The sequence below is a fragment of the Homo sapiens genome, chromosome 7 (assembly GCF_000001405.40).
Source record: "Homo sapiens chromosome 7, GRCh38.p14 Primary Assembly".
Lineage (NCBI taxonomy): Eukaryota > Metazoa > Chordata > Mammalia > Primates > Hominidae > Homo > Homo sapiens.
Genome location: NC_000007.14, coordinates 124996416 through 125022209, shown reverse-complemented (window position 1 = coordinate 125022209; position 25794 = coordinate 124996416). Strand labels below are relative to the sequence as shown.

Sequence of the window (25794 nt, the reverse complement as noted above, 5' to 3'; positions counted from 1 at the left end):
TCAGAAAATGGGTTTTTATCTTCTATCATATCATCAGGCTGCAAATTTCCCAAACTTTTATGCTCTGTTTCCCTTTTAAAATTGAATGCTTCTGTTACCTTTTGAATGCTTGGCTGCTTAGAAATTTCTTCTGCCAGATACCCTAAATCATCTCTCTCAAGTTCAAAGTTCTACAAATCTCTAGGGTAGGGGCAAAATGCCACCAATCTCTTTGCTAAAGCATAGCAAGAGTCACCTTTACTCCAATTCCCAACAAGTTCCTCATTTCCATCTGAGACCACCTCAGCCTGCATTTCATTGTCTATATTATTATCAGCATTTTGTTCAAGCCATTCAACAAGTCTCTAGGAATTTCCAAAGTTTCCTACATTTTCCTGTCTTCCTATGAGCCCTCCAAACTCTTTCAACTTCTGCCTGTTACCCAGTTACAAAGTCACTTCCATATTTTTGGGTATCTTTACAGCAGTGCCCCACTACCTGGTACCAATTTACTATATTAGTACATTTTCACATTGCTGATTAAGACATAACCAAGACTGGGTAATTTATAAAGAAAAAAACGATTTAAAGACGCACAGTTCCACGTGGCTGGGGAGGCCTCACAATCATGGCAGAAGGTGAAAGGCACGTCTTACATGGTGGCAGGCAAGAGACAATAGAGCCAAGCAAAAGGGGAAACCCCTTATAAAACCATCAGATTTCGTGAGATTTATTCACTACCATGAAAACAGTATGGAAGAAACTGCCCGAGTGATTCAATGATCTCCAACTGGGTCCCTCCCACAACAAGTAGGAATTATGGGAGCTATGATTCAAGATGAGATTTGGGTAGAGACATAATCAAACCATATCAGAGACTTTTCTGAATTCTAATTCTATTCAAATTATATGACTAGATGAATGTTGATAGCTTTATAAGTATGCCTCTATGTCTTAAGTTACTAATATATTTTAAACACAAAAGTCCCAATTATTTGCTCAACTTCTATGTAGGAACCATTTGTTACATTTGCATAACAAGCTCACAATTTGCTCATTTCTAGAACTATGTTGCCTGCATATCTCTATTTTGCCTTTAAATATGTAGTGAAAGACTAAGTGATTAGCTAAACACATGATACGCTGTTTCTGCTATGCCAACCAAAACCTTGCCAAATGACAAAACTAGGGGGTTTTGGCAAAGTTTATTCTAAGTAATTACATAGGAACTCATATTAATCAATGTACCCTTCTCTGTATGGGAATAAATCACCCCTTTCATAACGCAATCCAGACTCTTTCACTAGTATTAACCGCAAGCCTACTAACTCATGGTTTTCAGAACAAAGCGTTTTTAAAACAAATCATTCAAGTTTTTCCCTTCCTCTAAACTCTGTAATCTTTCCTTTTTTCACAGTATCTAAAAAAGTCACAGACAATGTGGCAATTGCTAAATCTCAACTTTAGTGTCTGCTTTGTAAACACTACAGCCTAGCTGAAGAAGCAATGAAAGGGAGAACAGTATAATTCACATTCATCTATCAAGTTGCTGGTGGTTCTCAAGACATAGTTTATGGAAACTTTCATATTGAATTTTATTATAATTAATAATTCAATTTAGCTTTCTTCTCCCAATTTGGTTGCTATAAATTATCATGAAAAAGAGTCATGGACTAATAACATGTTAGGTAAAATTTTCATTAGTATCTACATGCAGATTTATAATTAATATGGTCATAGGATCATAAACATTTGTGAAATCTTGTTGAGGGCATGCATAAGCAAATCTGCAAATATGTAAACAAGGACACCTTTACCTGATGTGAAGTTCATGAATGTTTCATGGATTCTTGAGTGACAGAAGCTTTCAGGAACAGTGTTTCTCTGATTTCCATTGCCTGCAAACAGGATACACTGGTAAAAATTTATTGCAAGTTTTGTCTCTCACCATCTAATTAATGAGAAATGAATGTAAACCTGAGTATATTCAACCACTGAAGAAAATTAAAAAGATACTAACTACTAAAGAGAAAAAAATTTGTAATAGCTTATATAAGACCAACTTTGTTGTTTATTAAATTATCTGTATTTACAGAAATCTGTTAAGATAAATATAAGCCTGATGGTGAACTAAATGTTTTATTTTCTATTTATGAATATGATGGACAGGAACTGCTACAAAACAGAAGAAAGGTAAATTCTTAAAATATTCAATTCTAGAATGTGTCCATGACATTTTGTGCCTTATGCCACAAAATGAATTATTCATAGAATATTGATAACTATGTTATACACAGTGGATTGAAGCATTGAGCTGGAAGATGGAAGATTTTAAGTCTCATTTTGGCTCTCCAACTAACCATGTGTCCCTGGACAATACATTCATTCATTCATCCACTCAGTAAAATTTTTGAAACTTCTGCCATGTGCTATGTACTCTACCAGGCAATAGAATATAGTAATTAACAAAAGAGAAAAATGTCCCTGATTTCAAAAAGCTTAAGTCCAGTCATTTACCCTCTATTCAAGACTTTTACTTTCTAGTCAAGACACACAATTTCTTTGTCTCAAGTGTTCTCATTTATAAAATGAAAAAATTGGATTGCAGTATTTATAATATCCTATCAAAGACTCCTGAGTCTTCATCAATAAAACATGTGTTTCACTCATGTCCTCAGTAATGACTGTAGGTTGTCCTGAGTTGTCTGTATACCAGGTTTCAAGATCTCCACATGATCACTAGCAACTATTTCTTCAGCAAATTGACATTTTTGTTATGTGGTCTATCAATACACCATCACAATTCTTGCTGAACAACACGGGTGTCCATTCCATAAGCACAACCTCTTGAAGTTTCATTTCAAAATTCAAAGCATTCCAACCAATGTGGATAAGTTACATCTGTGAGTGTGAGGAGACAGCGTTTTCCTCTAGCTTCAGGGTGTTCTGATAAAAGTATGGGAGGCTGGAGCATGTGGCTTGTTCTCTCCAAAAGTAAGCATCTTTATCTACTGCCCTTCAAGTACTGCATGTATATATCATTTTCTAGGTGTGCCATGACGTAAAAGAAATTGGTAAGTATTGATCTATCCAATCAAGTTATAAAATTTAAAATGCTAATATTACAATTTAGATAAAGATATAAGTAAATTAAAGAACAGAAGAAAAACAGGAAAAAGGGTATGGTCAAGTTCTAAAAAGTCTTTTGTATCACCAAAACAAACTTATTGTTATATGAATAATATTGAAACCAATAGATCTTAGACTTCAAGGAGTATAAAATTACACATAAATATGACATTTAATTTAAAGTGAAGTGGGAACCTTTTGAAAAATCTAATGGAAAGCTATAAATTCATCATTTCACTTTATCAGGCAGTATCACCTACCCATTTATTTAATATGTTTATAAATATAATGATCTAAAGTGCCTATAGATGCTATATTTGTAAATTCAATTAATACATATTGCAAAACTAAATCCCACTGATTGTATATGGAGCCCTAAGGGAACAATATTTTAAAGCTTTCTTCTTCTCACTTAAATATAAATAAATAAGTTAGATCAAAGTCCTGATTTATCCAAGTCCTGTTGATCCAACAACCCCTCCAGTTGCTCAGATCTGTTGACCTCCCCATTTGCAGCCATTGCTGTAAGTCAAGCTTTCATATCTGTCATCTAATGTACCTCCTCATTGTTTCAAAAATGCATCTCTATCCTCTGCAAGACATTTTAAAGGAACCTCTTTGCCTACATAATGATTTGCACTGAAGGAATGTAAAAACTACAATAATCTCAAATTGTTTTAGGAGAGATTTGTTACATATTTCAAATGGATTTTCTTTAAAAGTATGTAACACTGGTCAGCCAAATAAAGTCTAAATTTCTTTGTATGGCATGCAAGATCCATCCTGATCTGGACTCAGCAAATCTCTTTAGTCTCATCTTCTCCCATCCCTATTTCAAACAATTCTAAACTGTCCATAGTTCTTCCAAGCATTGGTGCATCAAATACTGGGTGCATTTGAACATGCCTTTCTTTTGCCTATAATCACCTATCTCCATTTGTGATATTCTTCAATTGTATTTCTCACATAATCACAGATAAAGTTAATCATTTCTCCCATGTTTTACATCTGCTGCTCTTATAACAGAGTTAAAAGTATGTGTATGTCCATCTTATCTACCAAACTAGGCTCTCTTTGAGTATATAGATTGTGTATTGCATGTTACTCACCAGCATATATTAGGTAGACAATAAATATTTATTAAATTAGAGAAAACTCTTTCCTATAAAGGTATTCATAATATTCTTTGCAGCCTTGGAAATCAAATTATAGTTAAGGATTCTTATAACACTATATGTCAACTTGAAAAAATATTACAAGATTAATAACATATTAGCTCAGTGTAATAAAAGAAGAATTTGCAGTTACAAAGCCTATATTCAAAATTACCTTATCATTTTCAGCAATGACAGTGAAACAGTCAGTGTGCTAAGTAGTGAGAATTGAAAAATAAATAAGAAAGGATCACTAGAATCTTCAATTCAAAAATGTATGTGGTCATCTATATTTATGATGTCTACTCAAACTTTACTCAAATACTTATGAAAATACTTATGAAAAAATGATAGTTTCACGATTACCAATTATTAGGACTAATAAAAATCAATATCAGTATCTAGAATGAAATGAATATGAACTGATAAATTTTCACTGTCAGTTAATGTCATATCTTGCCGTTGTTTCACAAAATAAATTCAGTCTGCAATAACATGGAATATGCTTTAAGTTTCTGAGAAAAATTATTTTAAATTTAAATTCTATACCTATCAATAACAGGAAAGCCATCTCTAAAGGAAGCTCCTGGCAAACTAGCTAAAATCATCTTTATTAAAAGTAAACTTTGTGCAAAGAGAACTTTCACTTCCCAATATTTCCAGGAAAAACAAGCATCAATACCTCTTCTGAAGGCACCAACATGATTCATATTTCTGAATCAATCACTGTGGCCAAGAAAATTAAATGAGTTAGTTAGTCAGACAGGTTACATCTCCATCCATGAAGAGACAGCAGTAAGGTCAAGAGGTCACACATACCTAAACCCCATGGACTAACAGTGGGCCCTTCCAAGTATAATCAGGTTACTGGTATATGAAGAAAATAAAAGAGATGCTGAAAAAAAAATTAAAATGCAGGTTCACTATAGAATAAGGATGGAGAAAACCTCAAAATCAGTATTAGTCTATGATCTCCCTTCAACATTATTCTTTACTAAGAATATGTTGATTATTGTGCTATCAGGTGTTCTAGATATGGCAAATAATATCTTATTATAATTATGAATACAGGTTTGACCTCATAGACTCCATGGAATTACATTAAAAAGCTTCAGGAATACATAAACTATTTTTTGAGAGCCACAGTTTTAGATAATGCTTCTCAAATTTTAATGTCTATATAAATCACCTTGGGATTCTGATAAAATGTAGACTGTAATTTAGTTGGTCAGAGATGGGACCTAAGACTCTTCATTTCTAGGAAGTTCCCAGGCAATATCAATGCTGCTAGTTCATGGACGACTCTTTGAGTGGCAAAACTTAAACAATGAGGACACAATCGACTCACATAAATGAAACTCCAGAGGCAGAGAATAATTCATGATGGGTTTACTCTGGGATTGTTTTCTCTCTTCTCTCTCTGTCTCTCTCTGTCTTTCTTCTCGCTGCCATTCACAGTGTCACTTTTGTTCTAAGGCTGATATCATCTTTAATCATAAGACATCTGCAAGAAATATTCATGTCCAGCAGGAAAGAACTCTTCTCACCCTCAGTGAATCAGAGGCTTGAGCCTATATTCCCTGAACTTCTCTTGAAACAGTTCCTGCAGACGGAAAAATGCCACATGCTGAATGATTGGCTCAGATGGCTGGGGTACCTGAGCCATTACGGCAGAAGCAACTGATTTACTAATTAACTGAAAAGCGAAATGGTGAGATATAACATTTAGCCAACAAATTATACTTCAATTTAGCATAAAATATAAGGAGATAACATGTATGAAATAAATATTGAGAAACAAGAAAAACAGATATGGAAATGACAAACAACACAAAAAAAGAAAGGAATAGAGTGAATAAAGAGATGGTATGTTAAAGAATTAGATTAAAAACTAATCTTCTAAGAAATTTAAGACAGTGCTAGAAAATGGAGGGGTAATTGTAAAATTGTATAAAGTTAAACACTTTTTTAATGTTTAAGAAAAATGAGGTATATAAAATGCAGCAAACAATAAAGGAGGAGAAAATATGACAAATAGAAAATACAAAATAAGACCAAAGATATGGGAGAGATTTAATATTTTACATGACAGGAATCTTGAAAATAAAGCAACAGAAAAGGAAAGTGATACATCCTCATGTTATTTTCAGTACACTTTTGTACTTTGATTTTTAAATAAAGTACATTTTAAAATAACAGTTTCTTAAAATACCAATAAGATGGAGAAAATATAAAATATTTTATGCTTTTTAGCAAAAATGTAGTATCTAAGAATAAGTGAAAAACCTACAGAATAAACATCACAAAATTATACCAAATGTCTAAAACAGAACTTAAACAAATGGAAAGCATTTCATGTTCAGAGCTGCAAAAAAAGGATATTAGAAAGTTCTTTTCACAATAATGTCATTTTTGTAAATAACCCTCAGGACTCTGTCAAACTTGGTAAAATGGTAGCAATTTTTGAAAGAATAATATAACAGAACAACATAATAACATAATATGAATGGAACAAAACAATAGACAATTTTGAAAACTACATCAAATGATTACAATCTTAAGTTACCAGGTATTGTAAGATCTTAACAAACTGTGTAGAACACACATATGGGGAAATATTAATGGAACGAATGGAAATTCCAGAAGCAGATTTATTTAGTGTTTGCTAAAAGAGGCATTTCTAAATCTCAGTATAAGATTGGATGATTAAACAACTCTTTTTGTAACAGCTGGTCAAATCATTAGAAAAATGATTAACTTTCTTATATTATTTAGAGAAACAAATTCCAGAGATTTTCCAATGAACTAAAAGTACCAAAAAAATTCTAGGCATTTCAAGCAGGGGGAATTTAATATAGGGAATTGGTTTTTCCAGTCATGAAACAGCTAAAAGCCAAAAGCGTGATACAAAATGTAGCAACAAAATAAAGCTGTTATTACTCACTTGTGATTAGTGGATAAAGAGGGGTGGCAGTCTTACCAAGGCCTAAGATCCAAGATAAAGGAAAGAGTACCAAGAAGAGATTGTTGTGTTAACTTTAAAAAATTAATTTTCTATATGGCAAAAAATGTCAACAATCAAAATGAGGCTAATAAAATGGATAAAAATATTTGTAATATATGTAATATCTTTAATATGTTAAGAATTGTAAAGAAAATTTGCAAAAGAAGAAATGTAAAAAATTACTTTTCCATGTTCAATCTTATGCACTAGAAATAAAATCATGCAAATTAAATCAGAGAAGATTGTATTAACTGAATGAATATTATGCTGATTTAAAATCAATAAGCACAACAAAATGTAGACATGGGATTTTTTTCATAGTAGATGTACTTTTATTTTTTAGGGTATAAAGATATTTAATCCTAACAGGATATTGAAAGGGAAAAACTCCAAGTTCACTTTGTAAATAATGATCTTAAGCCTGGAGACTGAAGCTGGAGACTCTGTCTCAAAAAAATTTTTTTAAATTTAAATTTAGAAATAAAGTTCACACCTTTGGCTTCCCAGTATAGACAGTATATAGAGCTGATCTTCTGATCTTCTAGCCAGGGTCTCTGCAGTTCCTACATCTAGTTGTAAATTCAGTTTTTCTGATTGATGCTTAAACCTTCTTTAGTACTTTCAGGATGATGATCACGGTGATTCCAAGATGGTGATCATAGCTTCATTCCCAAGATCTGAGGGTTGCAGTAGTCTTTCCTTAATCCCTAGCACTGGTTGTTGCAAGTACCATGAGAGTTTCCAAAGAATCAGTTGAGTTTCATCCATACTTCTTCCTGCCCGTATTGTGTATCAATATCCTATTTTTAATTAATACTCTAGGTTAACACTTCAGCACTCATGGTAACACTATCCTTTTGTTGATATGTACTACAGTAATTCTATTTAAGCCCATTTAATCCAAAATAAATATCTTTCTTAGCTTTTAGTGTTTTTTATTGTTGTGGTTTTGTTTTGTTTTGTTCTGTTCTGTTTTTGAGACAGAGTTTCGCTCTTGTTGCCCAGGCTGTAGTGCAATGACGTGCGAACTCGGCTCATTGCAACCTTCACCTCCCGGGTTCAAGCAATTCTCCTGCCTCAGCCTCCCAAGTAGCTGGGATTACAGGAGCCCACCACCATGCCTGGCTAATTTTTTGTATTTTTAGTAGAGATGGGTTTCACCATGTTGGCCAGGCTGGTCTCAAACTCCTGACCTCAGGTAATCCACCCACCTCGGCCTCCCAAAGTGCTGGGATTACAGGTGTGAGCCACTGCACCCAACCTAGTTTTTAGTTTTATAAGTACATACCAGGTGTGTATATATATATATATATATATGGAATATATGAGATATATTTAGTTGCAGACATACAATACATAATAACATCAGAGTAAATGGGGTGTTCATTACCTCAAGCATTTATCATTTCTTTGTGTTACAAGCATTCCAATTATACTCTTTTAGTTATTTTAAATGTATTTTTGTAGACTGTAATCACTATGTTGTGATATCAAATACCAGATTTTATTCATTCTAATTATATTTTTGGACCCAGTAGCCATCCTCACTTTCCCCCACACTCACTACCCTTCCCAGCCTCTGGTAACCAGCATTCTACCCTCTATCTACAATTCAACACAAACATCTTTTGAGGAATGACAGAATCTGTCCAACTAATTAACCTGCTAGTAGGTAGCTTATTGGACCACTAAAATATAGGGCTCATCAAGTAAGAGCCCATATAGTATCCTGATCGTTCATAAACAAACTGATCACCATTGGATCTACTGAGTCTTAAGGGCTAAGAAGCACAGTGCTTGCACATCACCCTTTTATTGGTCTTGGTGCCTCTAAAGGTGAGTGGTCCTTCAAATCATCAGTCAGATAGGTTTGATAAGTGTATACATAAATGTAATAAACTAGCAACCCTCTTAGCCATCTCCATGTAACTTTCACCTTCTTGCAGAATTAACAAATGCTGTCATACACCCATATACCATTGCTCCCAATGGTATTATTGAATTATTATATGCTTCCCAAAGTTCCATTATATTTATTCTGAAACCTGTTTGTGCTTTCATCTATAACACATAAGTTAGTTAACTATCATGTAAGCTAGTGAAATATGTATGTAAAAAAGGAATTTGACTCTATAAAAACTAAGTTGAATATGTGGAAAGGTCCAAGTAACTTAAATAACTTTATAATCATTTACATATAAGACAATAATAAAAGTGGAGAAAATCTGGATTTCTGTAAAGACCTCCACACTTAAATTTCTTTGAAAGTACTTCTAGTACTCACCCAGTTTATAAAAGCTGGATGTGGTTATGAAAAAATACAATAATAAGCTAACCAAATAGTAATCTAAGCAAATCAAAGGCACAAAGAAAGCCTTTATTCTATCTCAAAATTTGATGAATATACATTTTTACTGTAACTTACTGAATTTTTGCCTCATTGAATTATACAAGTCTATATGTTGTCATCAAAATAAGAAGTGGTCCTACAAGCATTGTGCCTCTTTCTTAAAGTAGGTGATATAAGGTGGAACCACTTGCACTTGGGAAAACATATCTCAATGTATACTCTTACTCACTAGTCTTCCAGAAGCTCCACTGAGGCTGCAGGAACTTAATTTTCATGGTTATTATTCCCTATCCTTTGATACATACTTGTCCTACCTAGGCATCTCGGCATAAACAACTTCTCATTCTCCAGGTATTGTCAGCCTAATGTCATCAGTAGACCAAAGTGACAACCTATAGGATGATGAGATAATTAGTTCCCACAGACTATACCTTTCATGAATCCTTGAGACAAGACTATGAATTTGTATTATTCTCCTTGCTCAATGTAATAAAACTCATTCTGGAGGGTTTTTTTTTTTTTTAGCCATTGGGCAAGATTAAACATTATTTCCAAGGTTACAAATGTGTTTACCCACTATTTACCACAGTTGGTAAAAATTTCCTCAGCAAGGAAATCCACCAGCTTGACAACATTTATAATAATCCACTAACATTATCCAAAATGCATTCATCTTCTGCACCTGCCAAATCAGGTGGTTAAACAGGGACATAATAAGAATCACTAAAACTGCAACTTTTAAGTTTTGATATTACTTTTGATATCATATTGCTTTTGCAAAGAAGAAAAACTCTAGGATCTTCCCTTGCTCCACACTATCCCTTTCTCCTTAAGTCAGGAAACCAAGTGAGGGAGGAGTTTGTCGTTTACTTTAACATTTTGTTGGTTGATAATTTTATTTCTGTCAGTGAGTAAGATTATGAGCAGCCCTGTCTTAGAGAAAACAGTTAATAAATGATTTTTGAAAGATGTTGTCACTCACCATTTATTTCTCATGGCTTACAGGAAGAGAGTGTGGTATTGTTCTTCTTTGGAGATATACTTAGAGGCTAATTCACACAATCTGCTAAAAATTTTAGATTAGTTTTGCTAGTAATGTTAACAAGTTTTACGGGTGGACTTTCATATGGGATTTAAGGGACATACCTAGTAGATAAATATTGTGTCTTTGGCTTGAGAAAGTTTGCAGTTCAGGAGAGAGGGTAGTGGAAACCAATTCCTTTGTTTTGTACATGTAAAATTTTGGATGCCTATTAGATGTTTAAATTTATAGATACAAGTGGCACATTATATAACCTAGAGTTCTGGGATGTTTGGAGCTAAAGATACAAATTTGACAGTCAGTCAAAAGTAGATGGTATTCAGGTATTCAGAGCCACAGGATTGAAAAAAAAATTATCTATGGAGAAAGAAAAAAGAGCCAAAGTTCAATCCCTGGGACATCTATTGTTCAGAAATCAGTCACAAAAGAAACCAGAAAAGTAGGATGAGAAGTAGAAGCCACTGAAGTGTAGTAGTAGAGAAGTTAAGACAATAAGGTGACCCAAGAAATCAATAATGGTTAACCATCTACTGCTGCTGAAAGATGAAGATGAAGACAAAGGAGTTATCAAGAGATTGGTAACATGCAAGAGCTATTTCGCTGCAAAGTTGGAAAAAACAGTTCATTTGGAGTTTATTAAAGTAAAAATGAAAAGGGAGAATAGGGAGACAGTAAAAATAGCTTTTAAAATAAGATGCTGTGAAAAGTTGCAAAAAATTATGGTGGAAATTGAGTAGTGTGTAAAGTCAAAAAAAAGGATAGCTTTTTTTTCTTGTTTGCAATGATAAAGATGTATTTATGCTGACGTAAGCTGAAATTTTAAGTTGTTAAGGCTGAGCAGATGTTGGCCAGATAAGGAGAGAAGAGAATCTCTTCTGAGAGAGTAATGTGTAAGAAAGTGAAAAGAAGCTTAATACAGTCAGTCCTCCATATCCATAAGTATTCATGAATTTGGATTGATTGAACACATTCAGAAAAAAATAAATGGTTGCATCTGTACTGAATATGTACAGACTTTTTTCTTATTCCCTAAATAATACAACAGTGTTTACATACAATTTACATTGTATTAGGTATTATAGATAATGTAGAGATGATTTAAATTATATGAGACAACGTATGTAGGTTATATGCAAATACTTACCATTTTACATAACGGACTTGAGCAACCATGAATTTTGGTATCGCTGAGGGTCCTGGAACTAACCCATTACTGGTTATTTACCCAAAGGAAGGAAAATCAGAATATAAAAAATACCTTCACCCCCTGTTATTGCAATACTATTCACAATACCAAAGACAGAATCAGCCTAAGTGTCCATCAACAGACAAATAGATAAAGAAAACACGGCCAGAAGCAGTGGCTCATGCCTGTAATCCCAGCACTTTGGGGCGGGCAGATCATGAGGTCAGGAGATCAAGACCATCCTGGTTAACACGGTAAAAAAAAAAAAAAAAAAAAAAAAAAAAAAAAAAAAAAAAAAATTAGTTGGGCATGGTGGCCGGCGCCTGTAGTCCCAGCTACTCCAGAGACTTAGGCAGGAGACTGGCGTGAACCCGGGAGGTGGAGCCTGCAGTGAGCCGAGATCGCACCACTGCACTCCAGCCTGGGCAACAGAGCAAGACTCTGTCTCATAAAAAAAAAGAAAGAAAATATGGTATATATACGTAATGGAAAACTATTCAGCCCTAAAAAAAAATTAATGAAATCATGTCATTTGCAGCAACGTGGATGGACCTGGAGGTCATTATGTTAAGTGAAATAAGCCAGGCACAGAAAGACAAACATGGCACGTTCTCACTCATATGCGGGAGTTAAAAAAATGAGTCTCATGAACGTAAAGAATAGAAAAATAGTTAACAAAGGTTTGAAAGAGTGTGTGGATAGCGGAGTGAAGAGTGGTTGGTTAAAGGGTACAAACATACAGAAAGATAGAAGGAATAAGTTCCACCATTTGATAGAAGAGTAGGGTGTCTATAGTAACCAACTATAGTTAACAACAAGGTATTATATATTTCAAAATGGTTCGAAGAGTAGACTTAAAATGCTCCCAACACATAGAAATGATAAATACTCAAAGTGATGAATATCCTAAATACCCTGACTTGATCATTACATATTCTATGCATGTAACAAAATATCACATGTACCCATAAATATGTACAAATATTGTGTCAATCAAATAATTTATAAAATAAAGAAGTAAAAACTAGCGAATTTGCCTAGAGCTCAGAGAGAAGTGTGAGACAAGAATTAGATGTAGGGAGGGATAGTGGTGTGCTCTTATGCCCAGTTTCTTATGCCTGATTTTTGAATTGGCTCTGAGGAAAAAAAGCACAAATTTGCAAATAATTTACAGAGAATAATGAAATGCATAATACTCTGCTATAAATTCTATATAGCAAATTAGTTCTCACAGAGTGATTTTATTGATTTTTGCTGAACTCTTATGTTCTATGACTGCAGTTAACAAGTGTAGCTTTAACATTAATGTTGGTTGATATTTTCATTTCCATTAATAAGCCAAAAGTGAAATGAAGATATACGTCTGAACCTTATTTGTTGGTCAATGACATAAAGGCCTTCCTTGTTGAATTATAGAATAGTTTTCCCAAACTGGAAACATATTTTTTATTTTTTGTGATATTCACAATGTGACAGGAATAGACATGACACTTAAAAGTTTACTCTGTATTATTAAGAAAGCATCTCCTTCACACTATTGTGTAGGCGCCATATGATATATTTTCTTTTGTCACTTTCTTACGTCTATACGGTCAACAAAACAGTAAATCAAGTTCTGATTTTTAGCATTTGCCAACTCCTGTGGTGTAAATATTCCCATCATGGCCAATTTTAAGAGATCAACATATCATCATAAAATGCTGAATTGGAAAGAGCTGCCAGTAACACTCCATTAAATGGTATTTCCATGACACAGACACAATAAGTAACCTCAAGATAATAATAAAATATAGCCAAATAATTATGAAGTGATGAGTTTCAAATATTTATTACCTATGTTTGTTATATAATCTATTTAATGTTAAGTTTATATAATTATCTTAAAATAATATCTGGGTTTAACAACCGGCTCACAAAATTTCTGAAAGTTTAGCTCTTGCAAGTTGGTACAAGCCAGCTCCTTCACATTATCATGTAGGGGCTGTAAGACACAATGCCTCACAGGTCATATTAAAAATGTTTGGTATCAAACTATGTGCAAATTTTGTGTTTAAAACATTTAAACGGAGAGTAATAGGAAGAATTAAGACCACAAAAATATATTAATGTTGGTCTCTTAATACTTCAACAAAACAGGAGAGTTTAGAAATATGGTTGGAGAACAGTGGGGAAAACTTACTTTGGAACAGGCCACAAATTGTTAGAACCAAATTATTTCCTAAAATCCATTCCACTTTGATTTTTCTGCAGTTCTCCAATGACTATACCAACTACTGAAAATATGAAAATATAAGTCCCACACAGCTGATGATCCACCATAGAGATTATTAGGTTAACTGATGATTCAAGCCCAGTAGGTTTCAGCAGAAAGCATGTTAAACTGAACTCTGATAAGAGCTTTTCAAGGTCTAAAATTTTCCGATAAATAATATGATGTAACATATTGGTAGATTTTTGGATATTAAGCCATCATAGCATTTGTGAAAAAATCTTACTTGGTCATGAGGTATAATTATTTGTATATGTTGCTACATTCAGTCTGCTAGTATTTCTGAAAATTTATATGTCTATATTCATATGGAATATTGGTCCACAGTCATCTTTATTTGTAACTGTTGTATCTGGTTTTGGTACCTGAATAATTAATAAAATAGGAAATATTACCTTTAAAAAACTGAGTACAATTAAACAATCAGTAATTCGGGAAAATAAGATGATATCCCTGGGTTCCCAGTACTAAATCAAAAATATGTGAATGGTGTGTATAAAAAGTGGTGAAAATAAATTTTCCTTTATTGCTATAAAGCTAATTAAAACCTCATTTCAGAAAAGAAATGAGGTCATCATAATATTTACTGGTACATGCAATTCCTAGAAGGAAAACTTTAAAAAGAGAGGGAGAAATGAAATCACTCCCCAATGAGAAGGCAGCCTGATCAAACCTAAAATGCTGAAAAAAAAGTTAAAATGCAGAATTAAAAGATGTAATTACTACACCTGTGGCACTATCAAATTGGTTGTTTTCAATGTGGCTCTTGAAAGTGGTTTGATGGGAGCCAAAGTGTCTTTTGGCTGGTGAGGCTAAGTGATAAATTGCTCGTCCAGCACATTCTCCCTCTCCAAACCCGTAGAAGCCTTCATTACACTCACAGTGACGGTTGGTTAACAAGTCTGGATAGTCTGGATAAAAACTACTCGTATTAAAAGTTTAGAGCTCTATTAAAAGTGTTGAAAATAACTTGAAAAGTGTTCTTTGTAGTGAAATTATATTGTAAATGGTTAGTCACAAAATATAATTGTGGATTTAACAGCTATGGATTTTTTTTATTTTTAATTGGGGAAGCTTGCTGATCAAAGGGCAAGTCTTAAGAGAATTAATTGAAAATTTATTTAGTTCTCTTTTAGATTGTGTTTAAAATGTGATATTTCTTGCAGTTATGAGTAATATTATTGAGAACAGAGAGTTAAATTAACCTACATATTTTTTATAACTTACCCATGTATTTAAGAATGTTATTTATTACACCCATTTTCACATTATTTAGCTACATAAAGAAAAGGCAGCATAATGAAGTTATTATTAAAACATTATTATTGCTAAAAAAGTCACTGATAAAAATTCATTTTTGTCCATTGACAAGTATAGATACCTAACATTAACAGAGAGGAAAAGAAGACCTAATGAGAAGCATAAAAACTAAAAATAGAATGAATTAATTTGCATACATGATTTTATACTGAAATACCATATTCCAGAACTCATTTTTTGCCCAATTTTTTACCATTCGTTAAGAAAGAATTAGCAGCTAATATGATGTAATTTGCTACAAAAAGTGCTGTTGCATAGTCTTTAATATGTGCTACATCAAATTAGGCCCCCACATGTAATGTACACATGTAATATGTATATGTAGTATGACAAATTGTCATACACACTATAGGCAGTTCTTAACCATCACCCAAATTCTACTCCATAGTACTTCCTTATTTGGTAGTATAATCAATCCCATCCACTTCCTCTAGAAGCCAGTCCTGTTTTTCAGAGTCAGATTCAAAGAGAGAATGATGGCAAGTACAGGTTTGTAATGTGTGCAGCTATAAATTATCTACCTATCTTTGAGATAGTAGCCAGAACAAAAGGATAATTATGGAAGAATAGTAGCAAGTAGTATTCACAATTTTATGTGGGAAAAAAAGGTCCTTGTTATAAGTAAGTGAGTGAATTGGCAGAGTAGTTTTGTAGTTCATGCCCTTCTATGTTAGGACATAAAAATCTATCGAGGTAGCCAGGCGCGGTGGCTCATGCCTGTAATTCCAGCACTTTGGGAGGCCTAGGCAGGTGGACCACCTGAGGTCAGGAGTTTGAGACCAGCCTGGCCAACATGGTAAAACCCTGTCTCTACTAAAAAATAAAATAATAATAATAATACAAAAATTAGCCGGGCATAGTGGTACATGCCTGTACTTGGGAGGCTGAGGCACAAGAATCACTTGGGAGGCTGAGGCACAAGAATCACTTGAACCCGGGAGGCAGAGGTTGCAGTGAGCCAAGATCATGCTACTGCACTCCAGCCTGGGCGACAGAGCGAGACTCTGTCTCAAAAAAAAATTTATGGAGGTACAGGGGACTATTAACAGTAATAAGTTAAGGCTTACAAAACCAGCTTGCATAAAAGATAAGGATATAGAGTGCTGGCAAGGTCAAATACACTTTAAAAATATACAAAATTATTAAAATTTATCTTCCACCAAATCTCAGTATCGAGCATAATAATAGTAAACACAAAGGATTTTGTTGTGCCAAATAAATAAGAAAACCCATGTAATGTGAGCTGCATTCAGCAGATAATAAATGTCCAGGAATGGTGACTATGATGATGAGAATAATTAGGTTAAAACGTCTTACCATATATACATAAGTCTTCAAAAATATCTTTTAGGAGTAAGGTTTATACTCTTTGACCCAACAATTCCCACTTTGAGAATATTTTTCTAAGGAAATAATTAGATATGTGTGCCAAGATATATGTGTAATGATTTTTATAAAAGTTAATTAGAATAAAGATACTGCTAGCAACCTAAGTATAAAACAAAAGGGAATAATTAAATCAACCAGAATTCATCTACACCATGCAAAAATGATAAATGATGTTATAAAATATTATATGACACAGTACATTTTCACAATACATTGTTAAATGATAAAATTTTGTATGTCTAGAATGTTACGTTTTGAATATATGTAAATAAACCGTACCTGATGTTATTTGTATTTTTCATTTATTCACAAATTTTACATATATATTCACACATAGTGAAAAAATATATACCTAAAATGAGCAACTCTATCTAGGTGGTAATTACTTGTGTCTTTTATTCTTTCATTTCCATTTTCTTGTTTTCTGCATATTTCAAATTGTCTATGCAGCTATGCACAATTTTTATAATGTCAATATCAATGACTAGTCTACTAATGGACTTTTTAATAGACACTAATAGAACTAGGAAAGGTATTTAGTGGAGTACATTGATGGGATTTGGTTGAGGTTCTAAAGGATGCTAGAATCATAAATCAGAGATATAGCCAATGCTAGAATGAATACCTCATTCTGATTCTGATAATCTATAGGGTCAACTTTAAGAATTTTTTTGGCCACAATTTCTTTAAGATTCGCACATAGGTCTCCAAGCAGTTTAAGATACTAGTCCACTAAATCAAGCAGGCACTTCTTTGGCAAGTTCATTTTATGAGATGATCTCAATTATTGCTAATGCTTTAAAATTCATAATTAGAGAATGTGGTCCTCCCTTCATGTCCTGAACAACTGAGGGGAAAAGCTAACAAAAAGAGGTTGGTAAATGGGTACGTGATTCCAAGGAGCAGATGGCTCTGGTGGTCTTCAGCAGGTGCTCATTTACATATTTTTGCCATAATCATGCTCTTCCTTCCCCCAGCATGGCAATATGCTCTGGCTTGAATGCACATTTATACCAGAAGCTTTTTGATTTAGTGAAAAATGTACTGACTATAGGGTCTTAGGTTTTGTTTATTGTCCTGTCCCTTAGGCTAAGTACATGTAGTCTTAAACACGTCCCTTAAACCTCGTGAATGTCCCTTATCCTCAACCAGGCTTCCCTGTCATACTATTCATACAAAGATAAAAGGAAACTAAATGGAAAATTGTGCTTGGGAGGGCTTGAATTTCACCCTAAGACACTGATAATTTAAGGGCCCAAATTTTGGAAAGAAGCAGAAATGCGCAGTGGGTAAAGCCACAAAAATTGGAGGTCAGAAGACTCTCGTCCTCTCCTGGTCACTAGTTATACGTAGTAGGACCTTCAAAACATGGAATTTCATTCATTCTCAATTTACCTACGTGCAAAATGTGGGTAGAGGAAAAGGGGAAGAGAAGGTAGAAGTTAAGCTATATTATCTTTAAGGCCTTATTCAACTACAAAATGCTTTAAATTTGTCCTATGGTGTGAGTAATCTGGTGGGGGTTTTTTTGAGAAAAGTAAATTTATTCTAAAATTTTAACTGATTTCATGTGCTAAAGAGAATATATAATAGAACCTCACAGAAACAAAATAATATGTAATGGGACATATTACTGAACAAACACTTCACCATTACACTTTATCTATGATCAGAAAATAATTGATATATCCCTTTCCATACTAGTTAAATATAAGGGTTCTTTCTAACAAATAATATTTTCCCATATTATTGGTAGCATAAATTTTTGTCATTATGATCCTTTCAGACAGTAGAAATATTGTCTAATTTAGTCTTTAGAATACTAACGGAACTTTTGAAATAGTAGAGTAAATAAATTTTACATTTCAAAGAAACTATTGAGACTAGTTCAAAACATGTTTTGTGGAACATAACTAGTTTTTTAAGTATTTGGGATTTATTTTATACCTTCCAGGTATGATCACTTTGCAGTGTGTGTCATAAAATGAAATTAATTATGGAAAAAATCCTGTCCACAAACTAATAGAATCATCTGGGTTTTTAATGATGTAGTAAAATATTTTAATATTATACTACATAAATAAAACTTTAAAAATTAAGAACAAGATTTTACTCAAAGTTCATTCATTTCTTGAACAAGATTTAATTGAGTGTCCGATGTGTTGCAGCATTGCAGTAAGCATCAAAGTCTTTAAATAACATCAGGTGAATATTTGAGAGGCAAATCACTGTAATACCAGTTTCATCACACTGTTTTTTAATCCATATGATATGCTAATCTTTCAACTTGTAATAGCATCCTCTTATCCCTGATAATTTTCAGTTATTTAGAACTTTTGAAAAATATAAATGTATAGACATTTTATATCCAAGAGCCAGCTTCAACAAATATTATTAGAGATCACAGAGTATCCCACCAGTCTAATTATTTTTATTCTAGAAGGCAGAAAAATTGGCAGATTCAAATATAATACAGGTAAATCATTTAGAGAGTGAATTACAACATCTCCTAAAAGGATGATATCTTTTGTTTTGAATTTTCATAGATTTTTGAGAGATGACAATGAATCCTACTCAAAGGTGACAAACCCATAGACTTTTTTATGTCCTGATAGAAATGCATTTCCATCCCTGAAAGAAAATAGTGATGAGATTCTGAAATCTGAACAAGTTATCAAGTTTTCAAGCAAGTATAATAAAACACAATACAAATACTTACAGGAAAAGAAATGTTCAAACTCTTGTGAACAATCTATTTTTCTTACAATAGTTGCTTCAAATCCAAAGAAAATCAAGTGCTTCTCTATTACTGAGCCTTAAATATATTTTGAATAACTGAGTGTCTAAACTTTTCAAAAATCCACTCTCAAGTCAGCAATTTAATTGGATTTTAAGTTTCTAAAATTGACATTGAGAAGGAGAGGACAAATCTGTCATAAGTCATAGCAATTTCAATGATGATATAAAAGTCAATCTAACCTCTTCAGTAAATGACTTAATTGGCTTATGCATAACTGCAAGGAAAGATAAATAATTTAATTATTACATAAATGTAAAATGTTTGTAATTAGCTCTTTTAAAAGTCTAGGGTAACATTAATGCATAGATAATTACATCAAAGGTTGCAAATTAGTTTCCAGTGTTCACCCACAATTCAGTTAAGTGGAACAAATGTCCACATTTGACCACCTCTTACTCTTGTTGACATTTCATGTTTTCTTGTGTATTTTTGTCTCTTTGGTTTTCCAATTCATTCTTACAGGTAGCCAGCTTTTAAAACGTTCTTCCTTCTGAGGCATAAGAAATCAAGCATGAAGAGCACACCATTGCCCCTACCCACATCTAGCTTCTGTCTCTCCTCACTTCCCTCACTAAGTTCTAGGCAAAGTGGCCAAGTTTCACCTCTTTAAAAGTAAAGTCATCCCTCCATATCCACAGAAAATTTGTTCCAGCACTCCCCCTTGAATACCAAAATCTGCCAATGCTGAAGTCCCTTATATAAAATGGTGTAGTATTTGCGTATAACCTATCTACATCCTCCCACATACTTTAAATCATCTCTAGATTACTTATAATATCTAATGCAATGTAAATGCTATGTAAACAGTTTTATGCTGCATTCTTTTAAATTTGTATTATTTTATTGCTGTATTTTTTATATATTTTTAAATATTTTTTATCTTCGGTTGAATTCATAAATGCAGAACCAACAGATATAGATAGTTGACTGTAATAGTTAATAAAAATCATGCAACTGAAAAACAAATTCATATTGAACATTTTATATTCATATATAATTTTAAAGTCCTCATTGATATGATTATAAATCAATAATTTAAGATATATCTTAAATTATTTTGTTTCTAAAAGATAGAGATGTATGTTGAAATTAAGTGAAATTATCCTATGATAATAAGGATTGAGTAGTGTTCAATTGTGTTGGTGAATCTACCTCTTTTTATGCATATTCAAAAAGTGGAATTGAACTGCTAAATAAGTTTACCAATAAAAAATTAAGATTAAATCAATAAACACATATATAAGCCTCAAAATTGGGTAAGGGTATTTTATGAAATCATACATTTGTGTATTCATTGTCAGGAATAAAAGAGACAGAGAAAGAGTGCAGTGAAGCAATTTTCTTCCTTTAGAAATAGCTTGGATTTCATTTTTGTCCTAAAGAAACAGAACTGTAATATGGAACATTTCACATTGACAGATCTATCATCTTAAAAACAAAGACAAAGTGTGACAAGCAGTTTAACAAAAGTGAAGAGGAATTCTGTTTAATTTGGAGCTGTAATAGGAATCATGATGCAAGAACTTAAAACTGCAGGAGAGAACAAATAAGGTATTTGTCCAATAAATATCTTACCAAGAGCATCAGCATCCTCTTGGATGCTCTGTTGCTCAGGCTGGAGTACAGTGCAGTGGCACAATCTCAGCTCACTGCAACCTCTGCCTCCTGGGTTCAAGCAATTCTTGTGCCTCAACCTCCCAAGTAGCTGGTGAGCACTGCCACGCCTGGCTAAGTTTTGTATTTTTAGTAGAGATGGGGTTTCGTCATGTTGGCCGGGTTTAGGCCCTCAAGTCCTCTGCCCGCCTGGGCCTCCCAAAGTGCTGGGATTACAGTCGTGAGCCAATGTGACCGGCCTTCATCCTTTTCTTAAAAACAGATGCCAAATACCATCAGGGAAGCTTAGGACCTAGACAAGAGAATATATTATAGAAAGAAGTGAAGTCAAATCCTCTAAATTTATCTGAAAATTCTATGATGAAAAATAGATGTCTAGATTCAAAACTTTCTCTTTGTTCCTCAATCCACTGTACCATGTTACCTCTCAGAATATCTTGAGGTGAACAATTCTTATTCACAACACTAGAAACAATTGGGAAAACACTAATTCTATTTTAAGCCTGATTGGATGTGTACTGATAGGGAGTTTGGTGAAGTCAGTCACATAATGACTCTTCATAATAAAATGTTTGACAAGCTATCAAAACTCTTTTGGAGAAAGAAATGGTGGATAGAGTTACTCTAAGGAATACATGTCAATTCAGTTATCTTATTCCTATATCACATTTTGATGGCAGCTGAGTGATCTCTGTGGATCTCATACTAGAAATTAGGTTAAAGTAAAAAATGAGTCAGATTGATTTTGAAGAATTTAGTTAATGTTATAAGAACAGTGGTGACACTAGTGCCAAAATTTTTATATATGGTAAGCTTTTTAAAAAACTAAGATTTAAAACAAATTCCTGACGTATACAAATTCAAGTTTATGACTTGACTAAATAATACATTTATGACTTTACCAAATAATTCAATACAGACACTGTAGTTCAGAGGCTCATATTTCAAATGTCAAAAGTTAGAATCTGAAAAGAAAAGCTATCAAGAAATAGGGAAAGAAGGATAACTCTCTGAAAGCAGACCAAAACTCATAATCAGTCATCTGGGTAATGAGACAAAGAAACAGTTGTATTGTAGACATATTGAGGAGAACATGATTTAAAAAAAAATAACTGTATCACCCATGAAAATTTTTTATTGACTTGATGTTTCCTAAGGAATGTCATCCAGCTACTTTAGCTTTGAGACAGGTGTGGTGGTTCATGCATGTAATCCCAGCACTTTGGAAGGTCAAGGAGATAGAATCACTTTAAGTCAGTAGTTTGAGACCAGTCTAGGCAACATAGTGAGACCTCATCTTTACAGAATATTTAAGAATTAGCTGGGCATGTTGATGCATGCCTATAGTCCCAGCTGCCAGGTCCGACCTGCAGACCCTGACCCAGAGATGAATGAAAGACTTACACTGACACAGATATTTCGCCTGTCAGCACAGCTAAGGGTCTCTGCTGCCTGAGTCCACAGTGTGTGCTGATAAGCCGGTGAAGTTTGCATTTATTTAGTATAGATTAAATGACAAAGGCTTTGGGTCAATACACCTGTGGGTAATTAATCTGGTCACCCTCCCCTGGAGAGAGCAGTGTCACCCTCAAATGATCAAAGGTCAGTCTTAGGACCACATGAGTAAACATGCTATTTAGATATACTCCCCTACATTCCTTATATCTACACCCTAAGCTTTTAAGAGAATTCAGCTGCCTTCAGCCAAATCTTTTACTGAAACTATTATAAAACCTTCCAGCCTCCCAAGAAGGTTTGCATCTTTCTACAATTTTTCCCACAACCCTGATTGAACTCCCACACCTACCTACTCAGGAGGCTTGGGTGGGAGGATCTTCTGAACCCAGGAGGTTGAGGCTGCAGTGTGCCATGATTGCCCTACTGCACTCCAGCCTGGGCAACAGAGCAAGACCATGTCTCAAAAAAAAAAAAAAACCTAAACTTTAGCTTTGGCATTCCAGGGTCCTTTATGACCTTGATCTTGACCTCATGTGCCTCTCCTCTCTTATCTCTCTGTTCCCTATACTCTAGCCACACTAGACTGACTACTCACCTGATCAATAGATTTATTGACTAGGGGGCATTGATGAAACTCTCTCTGTAGCTTTGAGGAGCAAAACCTTACCTAAATTGTAAGGCTCAGTTCAATTATTCAAATCCCTTCTCTTCCAAGAAAATTCCTCTGATTACTTACAGAGAATTATGCTCTTATCTGTACATACATATCTTGCTTTGAATCTATAATTGACTCATCACATTCTGCCATAAATTACAGTTGAATGCATATATCTGTCTTTTCCCTATATATAGCCCTAGAGTATAGACAATATATGAGTCTCTTTGTATCACATTTATATCTGGAAGATTTGTAGAATGTAACTAAATGAATAAATAGATTAGGAAATCTTAGATAATGCTATATTTAAATATCCTTTATCCCATTTTATATAAATAGGAAAAATGTTCTCTGGAATCTTCTGCCATATGTCTACTTTGACACTGGAAAATGAGCACTCAAGCATTATTCTAGGGCAGTAATATATCTCTTAAAAATTCTTCTTAAACTCACCCTGTATATTTATTTTCTGATGCTCAACTATAGCAGCCTGTATTCATCCACAATAGCACCACATATTTCCTTTTCATTTGGGATTACAACAGTCTCTGGTAAAAACATCACACTGACTATACTCTCAATGCTGAAAACTAAAGTTAGAGACATGAGAAATTGTTACATGTTTATATATATGTATTTATGTGTGTGTATATATATATGTACATGTAGGTATAGTTTCAGATGCCAGAATAAAATGAGAAGTACTTATTTACTGTACAATAACTGTAGGGTGTTCTACAATGATATTCTGAATTTTCCTATGTAGTTAAAAGGAAAAGTATCTTTGTGTTTACTGATTTTTTAAAAAATGCATTATGTTGAAGTTATAGTCCAACACGAACTCAGGTCTCACCACAGGCTCTTAGCAGTTAACATACTCTAACCAAGGCTTGTAATGTTAATATTTTATGAAGAGACTGGTTTAAGTGATCAATATAAGAAATACCTCTGCCAGAAAATTGTGTGTGCACCCTATTCTGTTGACTCCACAGTAGTCAGCTATTTGTTTTTAGACTCTAGAACATATAGGCCTCTAGGCAAAAGTTATTCACAACTGAAATATCTGAGACAGGAATAAAGGAAGGGAGGGTATAGGGGAGCAAACAGCATCAGCTTCAGGGTTATTCCTTTCCTTTCTTCATTACTCTGACTCTGAGTTTCTATTCTCATGTTACTTTGACTTGCTCCTTAAATGATGAAGAGCTCTGATTCACCCATACTTTTAACCAACCCACATCTTACTTCTGCTTCAATTTTTTTAGTTCACCTGGTTGCTGATTATTTACATGAACCTTAGACTTCATGCCCTGCTTTATCTCTCTTATTTTCCTACCTGGCATTGTATACACCTCTTGCCTGGACATACTACACTTGTCTGTGTTCTACTTTCCTCATGGCTCTTCAGGGGGCTTCTCTCCTCACTGCTGGAAGAGGCAGTCATAAATAATAGTTTCACCTTCTCAACTTTTCTCAAATACCAGTTGCAACCCAGCTTTTTAAAGGCGTTGAATTTAAAACTTTTACTGAGATAAATGGATAATGGAGAACAATGGTGTATCAGAATTCCAGGCTGTGTAACAAATTACTAGAAACTGGAGGACCTCAAAAGCCAAATTTAATCTCTCACAGTTCTGAATCCTGTAAGTCCAAAATTAAGGTGTTGACAGGGTTGGTTTCCCCTGGAGGGAGAGAACTGATTCTGCGCTTTTCTCCTAGCTTCTGGTGGTTGCTGGCTGCTATGGTTTGAATGTTTGTTCCCTCCAAAGCTCACGTCAAAACTTAATCCCCAAGGTGGCAGTATAGAGTTGTGGAGCCTTGAGGAGGTAATTGGTCATAAGGGCTCTGCCCTCATGAATGAATTAATCTGTTCAAGGATTAATGTATTAATGGGTTAATGTATTAATGGATTTTCAAGGAAGTGAAACTGGTGGCATTATAAAAAGAGGAATAGAGACCTGAGCAAACACATTAGCATGTTCGGCCCCCTCACCGTATGATGCCCTGAGCTGTCTTAGGAATCTACAAAGAATCCCCACTAGCAAGAAGACTCTCACAAGATGCAGTCCCCCAATGCTGGGTTTTTTTTTTTTTTTTTTTTGAGACAGAGTCCCCCTCTATCACCCAGACTGCAGTGCAGTGGCCTAATGTCGGCTCACTGCAACCTCCACCTCCTGGGTTCAAGCGATTCCGCTGCCTCAGCCTCTTGAGTATCTGGGATTACAGGTGCGCGCTATCACGCCTGGCTAATTTTTGTAGTTTTAGTAGAGACAAGGTTTCACCACATTGGCCAGGCTGATCTTGAGCTCCCAACCTCAGGTGATCTGCTTGCCTCAGCCTCCCAAAGTGCTGGGATAACAGGCGTAAGCCACAGCACCCAGCCCGGACTTTTTAGCCTTTTTTTTTTTTTTTTTGCTTTAAATTCTGGGGTACACATGCAGAATG

At 34.1% G+C, this 25794-nt stretch overlaps 1 long non-coding RNA gene across 2 annotated transcripts in view; it reads right to left on the bottom strand.

Annotated features, from left to right (window-relative positions):
• Positions 1-25794, bottom strand: part of POT1-AS1 (POT1 antisense RNA 1) — a 215362-nt gene that overhangs the window by 123025 nt on the left and 66543 nt on the right. The window contains exons 3-4 of one of the 2 annotated variants that reach the window (NR_125718.1): positions 21198-21528; positions 1797-1877 (exon numbers count right to left, since the gene is read on the bottom strand). This is a non-coding gene — a long non-coding RNA (POT1 antisense RNA 1). The remainder of the gene's footprint in view (positions 1-1796; positions 1878-21197; positions 21529-25794) is intronic. The other variant, NR_125719.1, reaches the window with a different exon arrangement.